The sequence below is a fragment of the Homo sapiens genome, chromosome 13, assembly GCF_000001405.40.
Source record: "Homo sapiens chromosome 13, GRCh38.p14 Primary Assembly".
NCBI classification, from domain to species: Eukaryota; Metazoa; Chordata; class Mammalia; order Primates; family Hominidae; genus Homo; species Homo sapiens.
In genome coordinates this window covers 65,774,993-65,794,226 of record NC_000013.11, presented here as the reverse complement: position 1 = coordinate 65,794,226, position 19,234 = coordinate 65,774,993, and the positions used below count along the sequence as shown (strand labels likewise).

The following is a 19,234-nucleotide window of genomic DNA, read 5'->3' as shown; positions in this document are numbered from 1 at the left end:
AGATTATTGAGATAATTCCAAATGGGAGGGGATAGCTCTTTTGCCCCAGTGTGATTTTACATTATTAGTTAAAAATTTAGTGGGGCAGAAATTCTTCAGAGAGTTAAATTTGTTTTTAATTTTATTAACTGGCTTTGTATATGCATATTAATATAATTTTTTCATTTGAAAGCCAATGTAGGTTACGTTTGTTATTCTAAATATTTTGACCATTTTAAGGACATTGTCTAGTGTAAATGATGGAAGTGTATTAATCACTAACATACTGGAGTTTACTGTGTACTTTCCTAAGTGTTATGCATATGTTTTGCCATTACATCCACAAAAACTCTTATGAGAAAAATTTTATGTTTTTATTTTATAGATAATTGAAAAAAAAACATAAATAACTTGCCTAAGAATTTCCAAATAGTAAAGGATAGTTCTAAGATTCTAACAAGAATTTCCATGTAGTAAGGAATAGTTCCAAAATTCTACTTGACAGGAGCAGTCTGACTCCTGAGCTTACAAATTTATACAACAAGCTCTTTTTTTCTCCGCTATCATACCTTGTAGAAAATATCACATAAGTACACGCAAAAAAAAATGTATTTCATGACAAAATCTGATTCTATAAACTTCTTCTGGAGAAATAATTATTTGGACAAAAAATTACTATGATAAAAATAATATCTATACACACATATAATCTTTTATTTAATCAGTTATAAATAGAAAATTGAGTAGCATTAATTATTTTAATGTTTAAATAATTGTGCTAACCATCACCACTATCAATTTCCAAGTTTTCATCACTGCAATTAGAAACTCTGTTGCAATCAAGCAATAACTTACAGCTAACCACTACTCTCAGCCCTTGATTACCTCTAATCTACTTTCTGACCCTATGAATTTGCCTATTCTAGATATTTTATGTAAGTAGAATCATATAATATTTATTCTTTTGTGTCTGTCTTATTTCACTAAGCATAATATTTTCAGAGTTCACTCATGTTGTAGCATGTTTCATAGCTTCATTCCTTTTTATGACTGAATGATATTCCACTGTACGTATATACTACATTTTTTAATCCATTCCTTTTTTGATAGACACTTTGATTATTTTTACTTTTGGTATTGTGAATAATGCTGCAACAATTACTGGCCTACAGGAATCTCAATGAGTTCCTGTTTTCAATTCTTGGGTTGTATACCTAGGAATAGAATTTCTGGGATACATGGCAATTTTATGTTTTGCTTTTTGAATAACAACAAACTGTTTTCCACATCTGTAACATGCAATATTTTACATTCCCATCAGCAATGTATGTGTTCCAATTTCCACATCCTGGCCAACACTTCTTATTTTCCTTTTGTTTTTATAACCTTACTAGTAAGTATGAAGTGGTATTTCATTGTGGTTTTGATTTTCACTTTCCTAATGATTAGCGATGTTGAGCATCTTTACATGTGCTTATTGGTTATTCTTTGGTGAAATTTTTATTTAAGTATTTGCCTATTTTTGAAACGAGTTGTTTCTTTTTTGTTGTTGAGTTATAGAAGCACTTTATATTCTGGATATACAACATTTATTAGATGTATAATCTGCAAATATTTTCTACCATTGTGTAGTTGTCTTTTCACTTCTTTGATGCATATGAGTTTTTGTTTTGATGAAGTAAATTTAGTATATTTTTTCTTTTGTTGCTGCGATTTTTTTCTTTTGTAGCATCTTTTGATGCTACTTGTGTTTATATATCTAAGTATCCATTGCCAAACCCAAGTTGATGAACAGTTAATCCTGTGTTGTCTTCTTAGAGTTTTACAATTTTAGCTCTTATATATAGGTTGATCATCCATTTTGAGTCATTTTTTACATGATATAAGGTAAGAGTCCAGCTTAATTATTTTGCATGTGATAGTCCAGCTGTTCTAGCATCATTTGTTGAAGAAGCTTTTATTCTCTATTGAATGGTTTGCCAAAATCCACTGGTCATAAATATATGAGTTTGTTTTTAGACTCTCAATTATATTCTGATAGTATATATGTCTATTCTTATGCCAGTGCAACAGTTTTAATTACTGTAGCTTTGTAGTAAGTTTTGAAATTGGGAAATGTGTCTTCCCATTTTGTTCTTATTATTAAAAAAAATTTTTGCTATTTGAATCTCTTTTTTTTTTAATATATTAAGACTATCCTGATATAGACATACTATAGAGACCCTGTCTCTAACTGGCCTTGAAGAACTGAGTAGTCATGTTAATAGGTCTACATGGCTAGCAGCTGAGTGTGGCCTCTAAGAGCTGAAGGCAATCCCCAGCTGACAATCAGCAAGATGATGGGGCTCTGAGTTCTACAGCTGCAAGGGAATTAATTTTTCCAGCAACCTGAAGAATCTTGGAAGTAAATTATTCCCCAGTTAAGACTCCAGATGAGCATGCGGTCTTGTGAGATTCTGACGAGAGGACTCAGCTAAGCCATACTCAGACTCCTAATTTACAGAAACTTTGACTTTTTTTGTTTTTTTGTTTGTTTTTTTGTTTTTTGTTTTATGTTTTTTGTTTTTTTTTGAGACGGAGTCTCACTCTGTCACCCAGGCTAGAGTGCAGTGGTGCGACCTTGGCTCACTACAAGCTCTGCCTCCGGGTTTACACCATTCTCCTGCCTCAGCCTCCTGAGCAGCTGGGACTACAGGTGCCCACCACCACGCCCAGCTAATTTTGTTTTTGTATTTTTAGTAGTAATGGGGTTTTATCGTGTTAGCCAGGATGGTCTCGATCTCCTGACCTTGTGATCTGCCCGCCTCGGCCTCCCAAAGTGCTGGGGTTACAGGCGTGGGCCACCGCGCCTGGCCTGCTATTTGAACCTTTTAAAATTCCATATAAATTTGAGAATTGACTTGTCCATTAAAAAAAAAAAACCTTGGAATTTTAATATGGATTGTATTGAATCTGTATATTGCTTTGGGTAGGACAATATCAAGTGTTCCTATCCATGAACAAAGATGTCTTTATATTTATTTGCAAACCTTTCACTTTCTTGATTAAATGCACTCATATATACATATATATGTACATACATAAATGTGAGAAACAATCTGGTTATTTCACAAAAGAAAATTGTGAAATTAATTGTAAGTTATTTCATAATGGCATACTTTCAGGACAGCCTTAATATCAAGTTTTTGTAAAAGAATTAAAGTTTTGGGCTAGGTGCAGTGGCTCATGCCTATAATCCCAGCACTTTGGGAATCTGAGGCAGGAGGAATGCTTGAACCCAGGAGTTCAAGATCAGTCTGGGCAACATAGGGACACACCGTCTCTACAAAAAAATTAATACATTAATTGGTCATGCTGGTACATATCTGTAGTCCTAGCTGTTTGGGAGGCTGAGGTGGGAGGACAGCTTGAGCCCAGGAGGTCCAGGCTATGGTGAGCCATGATCACATCACTGCACTCCAGCCTGGGCAACAGAGCAACACCCAGTCTCAAAATAAATACATAAATAAGAATAAAATAAATAAAAAATAAATAAAGAATTAAAGTTTTAGAAAAATTCATACAATTCATACAATATAATGTAAACAGGGAAAAAAGGATACCACCCAATTAAGAGAATTTGAATGAATATATTTATATTGCTCTATCCTGAAAACCCACTAAGTGACTGTAAAGTTTATTAATTAATTTATTTATTTTAGAATAAACACACAGGAAGAAGAAGAATGGTAATTGATCCATCATCAACAAACTATTGATGTTGGAAATTAATTGAACTTGTCATAACACTTTTTAGAAAACCTACCCAAATCAAACCTGGCCAGCAGTAAATAAAGCTGATAAATGACCAGGTTTGCATGTCAAAATTTGTCCAAAATGCTCACGATGTAGCAATATAAGGTGTCACTGGAAATGGAGAAGAAAAGAATTGAGCCCAAAATAAAGGGAATTAATTAGTAGTTTGTAGTGAATATGTTGCATGACCTCGTGCTCTATAATTGTTTGGAAAAGCACATAATTGCTATCTTTGAAAAATAATACTGAGAATGATTCTCTGAAGAGGATAAAAAGAGTCTTATTTTGCCTCTCTTAATTTTTTCTAAGTTCTTTTTTATCACCTTCGTTCTGTCAAACATTTTTTTTTCTTTTTTTAATTGTTTGTGAACAGAGTTTTTCTTTAGATGTCTTGTCATCTGTTGCTATATAAAAGATGATGACTAACTGACCAGTTGATTGGCTATGCTGAGTACAGTTCACCATTACTAAGCAATTCTCAGAGCCACAGTGACAAAAGCATAAAATAAATCCTTAAAAGAAATAAAGCAAAGTATTTCATTCATGAAACAAACAGAATAATGATTATATATGTATATACACACATGCATGCATATACATACATATATATGTATGTATCATAGAACAAATGAACATTGTTTCACAATTAGAAATGTAAAGCTTAATAGTATGTTTGAAAGATAAAGCTGAGAAAATTTCACAGAAACAAGAGAAAACAAACAACAAAAAGACAAACATGGAGGGAAGAATAGAGATGTGTAAGACAATAAAAGACACATCCCATTAATTCAAACATCCAAGTAATAGGAATGTATGAAGTAGATCGCATAAAAAGTTAAAAAGATTAAAGTATTAAATAAACATTTTGAAAATTTTTATATAAATTAAGGACATGCTTTTTCATATTTCAAGAATCCATTATGTGCCCATAGAAAGGGAAAAATTAGAGCAACACTGAGGCACATCATTATAATATTCCAGAATATTGAAAAATAAAAAGATCCTACAATATTACATATGAGAAAAAATGCCTACATGCTGAGGTTCGGTCATTAGTATGCTTCAGGCTTTTTGTGATAAACACTAGAAGCTAAATTAAAATGGAAATGCCTTAAAAATTCTGAAGAAAACAGAAATTCATAAATCCATAATCAGTCAAAATGTCACTCAACTGTCAATATAATATAGACATTTTTATACGTGTGAGGATTCAAAAAATTAAAGCATATTACTTAGCTCTCAATAGTATGTATATAGTAATCATGAAAGAAATATAAATCTTGATCTAACTCAAGTTATGATAAACCATAATTAGAGAATGGGGTTGTGGGCAGAAAGTGCTGAGTGTGTATTGTAGTTACAGAAAAACAGAAACAAATTAAATACTTATTCTTCATTGAGGAAAGATACATAGTAAGTTACACAGAAATACTAGCTTATTTAAAGATTTAAATCATTTCTAAAATATGTGAAAGTGGCTATTTCTGTTGCATAGTAAATAAAAGATGAGCTAGAGAAAGATTTTTTAAAACAAATTCTATATAATTGTTGTTTTTTATATGCTCATATTTACTCACATACTCTTGGGATATAAAGTGGAAGTAAATACATTAATATATTAAGACTTGGAGGTATTATGTGTAATGTCAATTGTATGCTTTATGTTTTTTTCATTTTTAGAAAATGTCTTGTAGTGGAACCAAAGAGAGCTGTTTCTAGAGAGGATTCTGTAAAGCCCGTTGCCCATCTAACAGTGAAGAAAATTTTTGTTGGTGGTATTAAAGAAGATACAGAAGAATATAATTTGAGAGACTACTTTGAAAAGTGTAGCAAGATTGAAACCATAGAAGTTATGGAAGACAGGCAGAGTGGAAAAAAGAGAGGATTTGCTTTTGTAACTTTTGATGATCATGATATAATTGATAAAATTGTTGTTCAGAAATACCACACTATTAATGGGCATAATTGTGAAGTGAAAAAGGCCCTTTCTAAACAAGAGATGCAGTCTGCTGGATCACAGAGAGGTCATGGAGGTGGATCTGGCAATTTTATGGGTCGCGGAGGAAACTTTGGAGGTGCTGGAGGTAATTTTGGCCTTGGTGGAAACTTTGGTGGAAGAGGAGGCTATGGTGGTGGAGGTGGTGGCAGCAGAGGAAGTTATGGAAGAGGTGATGGTGGATATAATAGATTTGGACGTGACGGTGGCAACTATGGTGGTGGTCCTGGTTATAGTAGTAGAGGGGGCTATGGTGGTGGTGGAACAGGATATGGAAACCAAGGTGGTGGATATGGTGGAGGTGGTGGAGGATATGATGGTTACAATGAAGGAGGAAATTTTGGCGGTGGTAACTATGGTGGTGGTGGGAACTATAATGATTTTGGAAATCATAGTGGACAACAGCAATCAAATTATGGACCCATGAAAGGGGGCAGTTTTGGTGGAAGAAGCTCGGGCAGTCCCTATGGTGGTGGTTATGGATCTGGTGGTGGAAGTGGTGGATATGGTAGCAGAAGGTTCTAAAAACAGCAGAAAAGGGCTACAGTTCTTAGCAGGAGAGAGAGCAAGGAGTTGTCAGGAAAGCTGCAGGTTACCTCGAGAGAGTTGTCCCAAATGCATTAGAGGAACTGTAAAAATCTGCCACAGAAGGAACAATGATCCATAGTCAGAAAATTTACTGCAGCTTAAACAGGAAACCCTTCTTGTTCAGGACTCTCATAGCCACAGTTTGCAAAAAGTGCAGCTATTGATTAATGCAATATAGTGTCAACTAGATGTAGATTCCTGAGGTCTTTTATCTGTTGTAGCTTTGTCTTTTTCTTTTTCTTTTCATTACATCAGGTATATTGCCCTGTAAATTGTGGTAGTGGTACCAGGAATAAAAAATTAAGGAATTTTTAACTTTTCAAAAAAAAAAAAAGAAAATGTCTTCAGCTTACATATTTTTTATAAGCTTAATTAAATGAACATTGAAAGACGAACTTACAGTGGGGTCTTCAGTGTTGGGCATCATATATAGCTAATTGAGCTAGACCAAATTACAAAGGCTTATCTAGGTTCTATGAGTGTTGACAGAAACTAACTCTGACTATAAAGTATGAATAAGCTAGGTTATTCTGTGGTAACAAATAACTCTCAACCACAGTGACGTCAAAGATTTAAGATTTGCTTTTACTCACTAAATATGTCCATTGCAGATTGTCAGTAGTCTCTGCTTCATGTCGCATTCATTCATGAGCCTGGAAAATTCACACAAGATGTTGTGGCAAGAATAAGAATACATGGAGGATTTATTCTGTTTCAGGAATGCTTTAACTGGAAGCAACACATATCATTTTTGCTCAATTTTTACTGGCCAAAGTAAATCATATGACCATGATTAAAGTTGAGGAAAGTGAGGTAGCGCAATCTTCCTAAGTACTTATAATGAGAGGAGAACTGGCACCAATCCACAAGGACTCAGCTAAGGTTAATTTGGTTTCCTTTTCAGTTTGGTTGTCTCACTGAGTCTGCAGGTTGAAAATCTGGTATCCCTGCTCCCTTGAAGGCCTGGGGAATATACATACTAACAGCTACTCCTATTCCCAGACAGCCGTGTGGCTTACAGTAAATCCTCTGCTTTATTCAAAACAAAACAAAACAAACAACAATGAAAAGAATTCTCACATCTATTATCCCAAAAATGAGGAGATACTTTATATACATAATATTTTTGACCCTACTATTTATATCTGTGAGATTTTCAGCATATTACTTAATGTTTCTCATCCAGAAAATGAAGATAATAATAGCATTTAACATGTCTAATTTTTGTAATGATTAAATGTGGTAACATATATAAAGTACTTTTAATAGTACTTTGAAAATTGTAAGCTTATTAAGTATGTTTTGTTATTATTACTAATAGTGATATTTTACGATTTTGTTTCAGGGTGATTAGACTAGTCGATCATGCGCCCAGGGAGAAACTGTCTCTGGAGATAGGAGGGTGTGGACAGCAAGTAGAGATCTTCTTGAACCCTAGTATTTCAATTTCAGGAATGACGTAGAATAATTAAAACTACAACTGATTCTTTAAGCATCCCCTGCCTGACTATTTCAAACTGGTTTACCTCTAACTCTAGCTCTCTCACAGAACAAATCACATGGGGTGGGGGTCAGGGAAATACATGAACGCAACACACTTAGATGCCTGGTGATAGCATTAGAGTTTCAAAATTCATCTTTGTTAATCTGAACAGGGCACTTGGTACAAATACCTAAAACACCAGAATAAAGATCTTCCATGAAAGTTTGGTCAGTATAAATGAACAACAGAATTTGGGGACCTAAGAAAATTCTGTGAAAATAATTTTATTCGAGCTTTTGGTGGGAATATTAATGGCACAGAATCAACACACTTACACAACACATAGCTATCATATTAACACTGCTACTTCCATATTTCATTAAACCTAAGATTTATCAATTTTATAATACAGTTCAATTTCATAATATAGTCCAATTTCAGAGATGTTGATATGTGAAAAAGTGTGTTTTCATGAAATATGGTACAGCCAATTGTTAACATTGATTATTCATTATGTATTAGAAATTACGTATAAAATATGTAATTATATATTACATAATTTCTAATATTTGCCATAGTTATATCAAGTAGTTTCTGATATTTCTATTCTACATATTCAGAAGTTGATATTCAGTAATATTAAAAATGTATGTTTCTAAAGCCAGGGTTTAATACCAATTCAATTTTTTTTTATTAGTCCACTCTTTTCTCAAAAGTTTTACAAATCCTCTCCCTATAAAATAATGCAATGAGATATTCTAGTACAATATTTCCAGGTCCCACACAAAAGTCAGGTCTTCAGAAATCGTTTTAGGTCATGGTGATGCGGGGAAACCCCCAGATTGTGTCTTAGCCTGGAAGGGTTCTTGGTTTTGCTCAGGAAAGAATTCAAGAGCAAGCCAATGGTGAAAGAAAGCAAGTTATCAGAGCAACAGTGTACAGCAAAATTGTTACTCCATTGACTCAGCAGGGCTACCCCATAAGTGGAGTAGCACTTGAGGGTTGCGGCTAGCTATATGTATACCTTCTCCTTATTATATGCTAAATAAGGAGGAGGTTATTCACTAAATTTCCAGAAAAGGGGTGGGGAGCTCCTGGAACCATATCAGGTAATATTCAGGTGTTGCTGTGGCAATTGTGAACTGTCATTGTGCTGGAGTGTCTTATACGAAGCAAATGTATTATAATTCCTAGTTGTAGCTAGTTTTGGTCAGTTTTTTGCTCCTGTTTTGATAGCAGGGTCATGAAAACAGGTCCTGCTGATCTCTTACCTCAATGGTACTAAAATAACTAGTTTGTTAGCATTTTCGACTCCTTGATAAAATCAATAGATTCAGGAAATGAGCATCAAATGATTTTTAACCTCACAAAAAGACAACTGGACATTACTTATTTGCTAGAAAGTACACGACACCAAAATATGAAGTACACAGAACAAAAACAATCAAATGAAAATCAATCCTTGATATTGAGCGGCAATAAACCTTTTCTGTAAAGAGCCAGAGAATAAATATTTTAGGTTTTATAGACTGCATGATGTCTACCACAACTACTCAATTCTACCTTTTTAGGTAAACATAACCATAGAAAATACATAAATGAATAATTTTGACTGGGTTCTAAAAAAATTGCACTAAACAAAATAAGCTTTGATGGCAGCGATGGCCCATCTGGAGCAGTCACTGAGAAGAGGCCAGCTGCAGCAGGGGAGGCACGGCAGGGACTGCACACTCCACGGAGCTAGCTGGGGCTGGGAACAGGCCAGAGTCCCACCCCCTACTGAGTTAGGGTGGGAGTCCTGCACTCCTGGGCACAACTGAAGCAGCCCAGCCATGGCTCTGGACCTGAGCATCCCTGCACTCTCAGGGGCCTGGAATCCTCCTTCCTCCACAAGATCAGAAGTGCCTGCTCCCACTCCCTGGCCTCTCACCATGCCCAGTGCCTGCTCTAGAGGGGAGGAATGTTTTGGCTGAGCCCTGGTGCTGTTGCAACCCAGCCAGGTGTATACCTTCACAGTGATGCTGACACCCCAGCCCCTTGCTGCCTCGGCCCCCTCCAGACTTGGGCACTAAGGAGCGCCGGAGGGAGGCCGGGATGGAGCTGAGGTGCCCCTCAGCACGAACAACCTGGCTGCCATAGTCAACATGTTGATGGCGGGAGGCAGGTTCCTGGGTGGAAAGGGGTGGGTCCCCGGTGAAACCCTACCCTCAGGTCAGGAACAGCCTGAAGACTAAGGGTCGGGCTGCCAGTTCTGGTTGAAGTCCAGGGCCTGGAGTGAGGACTTCATCGATGACTGTTTGGCCAATTAGATGGTGCTTTTGGGGGGCCAACCAAGGCAACCTTTTAAGTAATCAGCACGCACTTCCTCCCTTCTGAGCCCATAAAAAAAACCCAGACTCAGCCAGACTTGAGTGATGTCAGGACGACCTACCTTTGAAAAGGAGCTCAACCTGCCTGTGAAAAGGAGCTATCCACTGCGGGTATCCTCTCTGCTGAAAGCTGGACACGTGTAGGAACGACCTGCTGTAACACAAACAGGGCTGAAACACAGCCCCCTGCTCTCCATGTTACCGGCAACAAAAAGGACAGAAGAGCTACAGCCCTTCTGGGAGCCCAGACATAGGGGTTCCCCAAGCCAGGGCTGTGACACCCTTTTGGGACTCTGCAGTGCCTGGTGTCTTCAAGCTTCCGGGCACCACCATGTTCCCCTTGTTGAGACCCGGGTGCCCACAGGAGAAGATGCATGCAGTACACCTGGTCTAGCCTCACCCTCACACAGACCTGGCACCTGGGTTGGCGCCTGGAGCTGCCTGCCCCAAAGCAGCAGCTGGCGTGCCTGATTGTACACACTGGCTGGACCCTGTGCTCACTTGTTCACACAACCCTTGCTGCTTCGTGCCTGGCTTGTCCTTGGCAGGTGCGGGATCTGGGCTGATAATGCTAACTGAGCATGACCTGCCAGGCCAAGTGGACAGATGAGCCCAGAAGGTGCAAGCAATACTCACACAGAAGATGCCGCTGGCTAAAGATGTTTCCAGGTAGTGAAGCAACACCCCAAGGATCTCATGACAGCTTTAGGCTGGATGTGGCCACAGGCTGTAGTTTGACTATCCCTATTCCCATCTCTAACAACCAACTTCAGGAAATGCAGAGGAGAGAAGAGGATGTTAAACAATGCCATGAGGAGAAAATCAGCATTATCTAGACTCTGGGGGAATACTACAGGACAAACAGCATAATGCTTTTCAAAAAATTAAGTGCAAGAAAAAAATAAATAAAGGGATGCTGGTAACTTACATATTAAAAGACTTAGTAGACATAGCAACTGATCTAAATGTAGAGATTTTATTTGGATAGAAATTCAAATAAAGGAATTCTCAAAACATAAGGCAATCTAGAAAACTTTGGATAATCGGTATTTAAATGTAATAATGGTTTTCTAGTTAGTATATATGTATGTACGATTTATTGTATTTGAAGGTATAGATTTAAATAATTTTAGATGAAAAAGCCTGATGGCTGTGATATGATTCAAAATAAGATAGGGGTGTTGAGTGTGGGAAGCAAGTTTGGATACAGAGGAAAGAAGATGGGCAAGAATTGAGAATGCTTAAATTAAGTGATGTGCACGTGAGAGTTCTACTTTGTATATATTTAATATTCTACTTTGTATATTCTTAAGTGTTTCTATAATAAAATGTAAATTTTTTGTTTAGAATTGTATACAGCAACACATAATAGGGGTGCCCCTAACTTTGCTAAATGAATACATAGAGAAACATGTTGACTTGAAATGTTGACTTGGCAAAACATGGAAGTCAGCTGTTATGGGGGGCACTGTAATATTCTCTCCTCTTACCAGCTTTCCTACCTGTTCAATGACAATAACTTACTTATTTTTTTCCTTTCCATCTGGACACACCCTACCCAAACAATATAAACCAAACTCTTATAAACAAAACTCTCAAGCTTTTAATTATTAAATTAATCTGATTTTGGGTACCTGCCAGGGAGTTAGGAAAAATTCTGAACTAGTGTCACTTGCATATGGAAGTCTTGACCAAAAATATTTTCATATGGCTTCTATGCATATTTTTGTTAAACCCAGAACACTCTGCCTGGAAAAAAATAATTTTTAAAATTTCTGCCAACATTGATATTAGGAGTGAAAGAACAGAAAACTAGTGAGAAAAAGGACTTCCTGTGACCTCTCAAATATATTTTCCTATAAATTAGTATATGCTCCTTTGAAGACTGTTTGTCCATTCTAAGGAAATGAGTACGTCCATGCTACGGAAGTATATTTAGTATAGATTCATGTGAGTCTTTTATATTCTCACTGTCCCCAAAGGATGAGAAAATCATGAGGCTATTGGTTTGGATAAGTAGTGTTCCTGGCTATGAGGATACAAAAATCCGAGAATTATAGTGTAATGCTAAATAAAAAAGAAAGGGACAGGGTAGGTAATAACAAAAACTAAACAGAAGAAAAAATCATAATTTGAAAGAGGACTATTTGTTTTGACATAAAAAGATATTGTGTTTCATTTTTGTGATTCAGATACCCAGCTTTCTTTTCACTGGTCCTTGTTTTTCTTCACGTAAATGATATGTGAACACCTAGGCTGTTAGTAAGGTTAAATTAAACTCAGAAAATCCTTGTCATTTGCATTTCTGCAAATTTAATTTAAATTTAGGATTGACTATAAATAGTTATAACTGCTTTTTTTCAGCTACATAGTTGCTAAGCTACTTACTGTTCTTTTATTGCCTCAAATTATTTGTGTACTATCTGATGTTGAACAACTCTAAAACTAGAACAATTAGATGAATGAAAAATTAGATCTTTCAACCCTTCAAAAAAACTACTACAAATTTAATTACTATAAGATGCCACAAAGAATCTGTTCCTGCTGGAATAGTTCAGCATCTGACAAATGAAGTAGAGATACGGAATTTAGTGCAAATCCACAGCTACATTGTGACTTGGTAGGTGGTATTTTTAATGGCCTTGAGAATTACAGTGAAAAATTGGATGAAACCAATATTCAATGGCAGGGGCATTACTACTGCAATATGGATAGGAAATAAAAATTCCTCTAGCTCCAAATAGTTAATGAACATCGATATGTGCAAGGCACTGTAAAGAGGGCAGATCATTTTATTTCCTTGGAGCTTAGTTTGGTGCCAGAAAAGGAATTTTATGTGCTGAGTTGACTAGTACAAATCTTTCAGGTACGGTACTTTCTGCATACTGTGGAAAAACATCAGACAATTTATTTTCAGGAAGACTTCCAAATGCTGCAGCATTAGCAAAGATTGAACAAGGGGCAGTGTGATCTTAAGTAAACCTCCCATCTTTCTAAAGATGTTTGTGTTGGGAGAAATGATCTTTGAAAGTCTTTGCTTGGAAATGTCATGAGCACAGACACAATAACCAGGCATAGTGGCACTGCACATTGGTAAAGGCTCAAAAAATGCAACTGAGCAAACTGAGAAGACAGGATGGCGAGAGTGTTCCTTAATTGTTAACAGAAAACTATTGAGCTCCAGTGAGGGGTATACTGTCATTTGAATTGACATGATAGCAATTGCTGTTGTAAAAGAGATTAGATTAGACTTTAAGTAAAATATAACATTTGAAATAATCAGAAAACTATTAGTATCTTAATTTTCTGTTTCAGAGTTTTAAAATGTGGATTTTTTTCCTCTGTATACTTAAGTAAGCAGCTATAGGTCTCTATGTTTCTGTTATTAAGAATTCAGAATTGAAATTTTGGAACTCATGACATATTTTAATTAGTTATTCTCTTAAAAGGGGAAAATAACTATAGAAAGCATGACCTAAGATTGTTTCCTATTTAGTTTAAATTCCTTGATGGTATGACGTACTATTTACAGTGGTTGGTGTTATTGGATCAAATTAATATTAAATGTGAATCTTTCACAAACAATGTTTCAGTCAGAACATCTTAATAGAGGGTATATTTTTCATTTTGTTACTTTACCCAGTTTATTTATTTGTATATTTTCAATTATAATTCCCAGGTTATACTTTGAGAAAAGAATTAAAATAAAAGTAAGTGAAAATACTGAAATATTTCAGTAAAATCATGAGTGGCAGAACTTCGAATGAGAACCCGCAGTCCTGACTTGTAGTAAGCAATTCATTTTTAAATATTCAGAAGAAAACCATTAATCATTATTACATGTATTATTTGCCGGTTTCTATATAAAAGTTTTCAGTTAGCAGAAACATGTCTTGAGTTCACCTGGCACAGTTACTATTTTGGAAAATTGCAACTCTGTCTTTCTTGTTCTAATTAATGTTTCTGTATGCGTCATTCAGCAAAAAAATTTAATAATCTGTTCTCTGAATATTTAAATACAGTTATCCTCAAAATGCAAAATTATCATTAAAGCACAATTAGTGAAGGAGAATCAGGTTTAGTGTAACCATTGTCTAAAATGGTTCAGCAGCCTTTCTTCAGACAAGTAGATATATGTGATTTGTAAGACAATATTAAAGAAACAATACTGGTATTATTATAATTCTGTGCAATCAAAAGGGTTTAGTTATCTACTTACTTTAGTAGATAAATATATTAATCCAAGCCTTTGTATAGAAATAATAGTAGAACAACTTGCATAAAAATGAAAAGATTCTGTATACTTTCATATGAAGAAAAATATTTTAAAATATTATAAAATTATGATTAAAATATTGTAGAACAACTACAATCCAAAACAATCTGTTCAAAATATGTCATTATACTCTTTTCAGTAATTTCTTATTACCAGGTCCTTTGGTGTGGCAGCCCTCACTCTGCCACCCAGGATGTCTTGGATACTTGCAAAAGCCAGAATAAGAAGCACTATGTGTTAACCTCAGTTGAACATGCATATTTAAGTTTAATTACTTTCTTTCTGTAACAAAGAATTGAGTTTTTGAAAAGACTGTGGTGGTTTAATGGTGGAGTACTAGTTATTGACCCTCTTCATCCATAAAATGTCATTTTGAATGCAGTGTTTCAACTATATACAAAACTTAAATCCCTTTCAAAATAAATTGTCTATTTTTAAAAAATCTGAAATGAGAGTGCAATGTTCTTAAAATATATTATGTAACTGTTAAATGGTAATAGGAATGGGTATTTCTAGTATGTTTAGAATATATGGCACATATACACCATGGAATACTATACAGCCATAAAAAATGATGAGTTCATGTCCTTTGCAGTGACATGGATGAAGCTGGAAACCATCATTCTCATCAAACTAACAGGAACAGAAAACCAAACACCTCATCTTCTCACTCATAAGTGGGAGTTGAACAATGAGGACACATGGACACAGGGAGGGGAACATCACACACTGGGGCTTGTCTGGGGTGGAGGACTAGGGGAGGGCTAGCATTAGGAGAAATACCTAATGTAGATGACATGTTGATGGGTGCAGAAAACCACCACGGCACGTGTATGCCTATGTAACAAACCTGCACGTTCTGCACGTGTACCCTAGAACTTAAGGTTAAAAAAAAAGAAGAAGAAGAATATTAAGAATGACTGTATTTTCCAATTTACTCAAGAAATTGTGATTCTTCACATCTTCTTTAATGACTATTAATGTAGAAAGAAAAGATTACCTATCAGATTGTGCAGATAGGTTACCCGCTGAAAAGTGCACTATTGATATCAAAGGGGAAAACCAGGTAAACACAGTTAAAAATGTAAGTTTACAACACCCTGATTCAGAAAGTAGTTAAGTCATCATACAGAATTGATACAATATGATAAGATAACTTGAAAAAGAACTAAGTTATACAATGAAGGAAGAGGGTCAAGGATGGGTGGGAATTTTAAGTGAAATCAGGGATGAAATGAATGTATTTAACGAATGCCTCAAAATCTTGCAATGCTTCCCCAAGTTTCAGAGATAGTGGAAACTTTTTCTAAGAGCACCACTGAATTTAATCTTCACTATATGGATACAATTTATTATTTGTGGTATACCCCTCAATTTGTGCCACTTATTTGTTTTATTAGAAGTAATGTATGCCTTGTGTAAATAATATTAAATAGACAGAAGGATTTTTCAATAAGAATCAAGAATCATTTGCCCTAACTTGCCCTAATTATCCTCAGCCCCATTCCCCAATAATTGGTTTTAACCTTTTTTGGGAAATTTGAGAGGGGTTTTCTCTTGTGATTTCTTAGCATTTTAACTAACATGTTTAAGTCACTATCTTTTGATCCATCAACCTGAATATTCTGCTGTGTAACATACCATGCAAGATGAGTACTGAACTCAATTACACATTCAAATTACTGATTTTTCACATAATTTTATTTTTTAATCCTTCAAGTAATTTTTGAAGCTTGATTAACATACTTATAACTCTGTCTCTCATCCTGTCAAATTGTTATAGTATGTCCACACAATAAAAGCTGAATCCAAATTCATTTTATTACCACTAACAATTTGTTAGTGGCACTATGTGTACTTTTGGATGGCCAAATAAAAATATTAATAATGTAATAAAATTACAATAATGTAATAACAATAACAATACTGTAATGGTATGGTAATAATATAATAATAATAACAATAAAGTATATATTTTTATTAACCTCTTCTGACTTTGCCTTTACTGCATTCTAAATGTCTAATTAAAAATCAATATATTACTTGAACATTATTTAAATACAATTCCAGCAAAAGACAATGAAGATGCAAAAGTCATACCTCCATTCCTCCATGGATTCAATGAAAATAATTCTATGTTATTTAATGGAGAAATATATCTTAAGGGAAGGCAGTTTTATAAAAACATATTCAGTTTTCCAAAATCACTTGTGCCAAATTTGGGTGACAATTTTTTGTATGAAAATAGTTGCTGTTATGTTTTTTGTTATTTCTTTGTCATTATGTGGTTTATTCAATCTGAAAAAAAAGATATACTTTATTTTAGCAATATATATAAAATCTTCCAGGTTTTACTCACTTATTTTACTAATTTTAATTTATAACCTACTTCATTTAGAACATTCCTCTTAAAATATGTACATGTTGCAAATAAAAAGTTGTTTAATTATGGATTTTTTTAACATAATAGGGACATACTAATACATTCTCATTATAAAAAAGTGATAAAACAGATAAGGCAAAAACGTACCTGTGATTCCTGATTGCCACAGTTTTGGGTTTCCTCTCTGAAAGTAAACATGTGGTTATCATTAGGGCTTTTAAGTTTCTAGGCTTTTACATACAAATATAAATATATATGTGTAAACACATATGTCGTTCATGTGATGGTGGCCCACCCAGAATCTCCCTGTCAGACTACGGCCTTCATATTCCCAGTTGACTAACAGCTCTCAGCAGGATCTGTCTCCAGTAATCATCTTCTGCTGAATAGAGTCACCTCTTCTAAAGCAGTGTGCCCTTCTTGGATGCAGCCCGCATCTAATGACTATTTGTTGTGAAAATATAAAGGTCTTGGCTTGCCTCCATTTGGTGTATCTCTGAAGAGACTTCTCAGGTACAAAGATACCTGTGGAATTGGCTGAGGCTGTTGATCGACTCTGTGGAAGTTCACTGTCTTCCTGTGCCCAATTGTGTTGTATTTCTTATAGTCATTCACTCACATTTGTTGACCCTTGAAGAACTCCTCCCAAAACTTCTTGTATCAGAGTCTGTCTCTGTGTTCATTTCTTAAGGAACAAAATCTTAAAAAGTAAAAAATAAAAGTAAGCTGAAGAAACAACTGCAAAGCCAGAATTTGGAGCTAGATCACTCAGTGGTGGGCTGGCAATGAGAGGAAAGCACTGGTAGTAGGTGGAACAATAATAATCCTTGGCTTGTGGCAGTAGTTTCTAAAACGTTATTCTGTGGAACACTGGAATGGAATACCAGTTGAAAAAAAAATGCACTAATGGATAAAAGAAATGTAGAGTTTTTAGAGAAAAACTCTAATTATAAAAATCATGGGATTAGATAATAGTTTCCAGAGAAAAGTGATTTATTGAAGAAAGACAATGAAATGTTAAGGATGACTAATCACCAATTAAAGGCTATGAGTGAAAATGAGAAGAGCTTCTTGATAGCAGAAAGAGATTATCATTTCCTACAGCTAGAGGGCAAAAAATAGCTGATATTCAAGCCTAGGATTTAATTACAAACAGTCCCCAATTTATAGTGGTTCAATTTAAGTGTTTTCAACTTTACAATGGTATGGAAGTGATAAGCATTCAGTAGAAACAATATTTTGAGTACCCTTACAACCTTCTGTTTTCCACTTTCAGTACAGTATTCGATAAATTACATGAGCTAATCAATACTTTTTCATAAAATAGGCTTTATGTTAGGTGATTTTGCCCAACTGTAGGCTAACATAAATGTTCTGAGCATATTTTAGGTAGTCTAGGCTAAGCCATGATGTTTGATAGGTTAAATGTGTTAAATGCATTTCAACTTATATTTTCAACTTATGATGGGTTTATTGGTGCGTAACCCCAATGTGAGTCAAGTACCATTTGTATATGAATTAAGAGGTCTGAAGAAATGTGAATTCTCAGTCTTGACAAACACCAAGCAATCAGGTCTGATCAGGAAGAGCCAAGACCCTGAGTTTGTAGGCGTTAAGAAGGATTGAGACCCTGCGATGTGGGCATTTGCATGTGTGCATATAAAAATATTGAATCCTCAGATTTATTGTAAATGTGGTGCCTACAGAAGAGGTTCATTTTCCTAATAGCTTGTACTCCCCTACGAGCTTGAAGATGATGTAAAAATCTGGCTTACAAGACAACATGTGTTTTCTTCAAGGTAAAACCCATCTCCTTTCCTGTCCACCATTATAATTATGTCACATAATTACTCAAGCCAGATCACATAGTATCACTTCACATCTATAAAAAAAGAAAAGTGAAAGTCAATGTATCCTGGATGACTTTCAAGACCTAACCACCATGTAACAGCGGAAGCCCAGGGACTATACAAAGCACTGGGTCTGAAGGTGCTTGATCAAATGCTTGGAACATGGGGTAATAAGTGAATGTTTATCATTAGTAAAAAATTTCCCATGTTATAGCACTAATTTTTTGACAAGGACTTGTGAATTTAGTGCTACCATACTGTGAGAGTGGCTCTTGGAATCTTGGAGAAAGCAATGTTCCACATTAGGTGAAGCAGAAATAGAACAGCCATGGTATATGGTGGTAGAAGGGATTAAGAAAACTCAGGGAAGTTGACATGCTAGATTAGTGAAATTAGAGAGCTCACCAGATAACTGCATTCCATTTGAGGACATTAAAATTAGTCTATTCATAAAAGTGACGAGAAATGCTCTGGCAAGAAGGGTATAAGCATCACTGAGACCTACAGTGGTGCCT

General features: G+C 35.3%; 1 pseudogene, besides 1 other annotated feature; it reads left to right on the top strand.

The window, feature by feature from the left end:
* On the top strand, positions 5,464–6,311 carry HNRNPA3P5 (heterogeneous nuclear ribonucleoprotein A3 pseudogene 5; annotated as a pseudogene).
* Positions 9,331–10,232: an enhancer, noted in NCBI's record as "H3K4me1 hESC enhancer chr13:66358127-66359028 (GRCh37/hg19 assembly coordinates)". NCBI's record gives its function as "activates a minimal SCP1, AML or CMV promoter by ChIP-STARR-seq in primed H9 embryonic stem cells {active_cell/tissue: H9 hESC(primed)}" and the evidence as "EXISTENCE:reporter gene assay evidence [ECO:0000049][PMID:30033119]".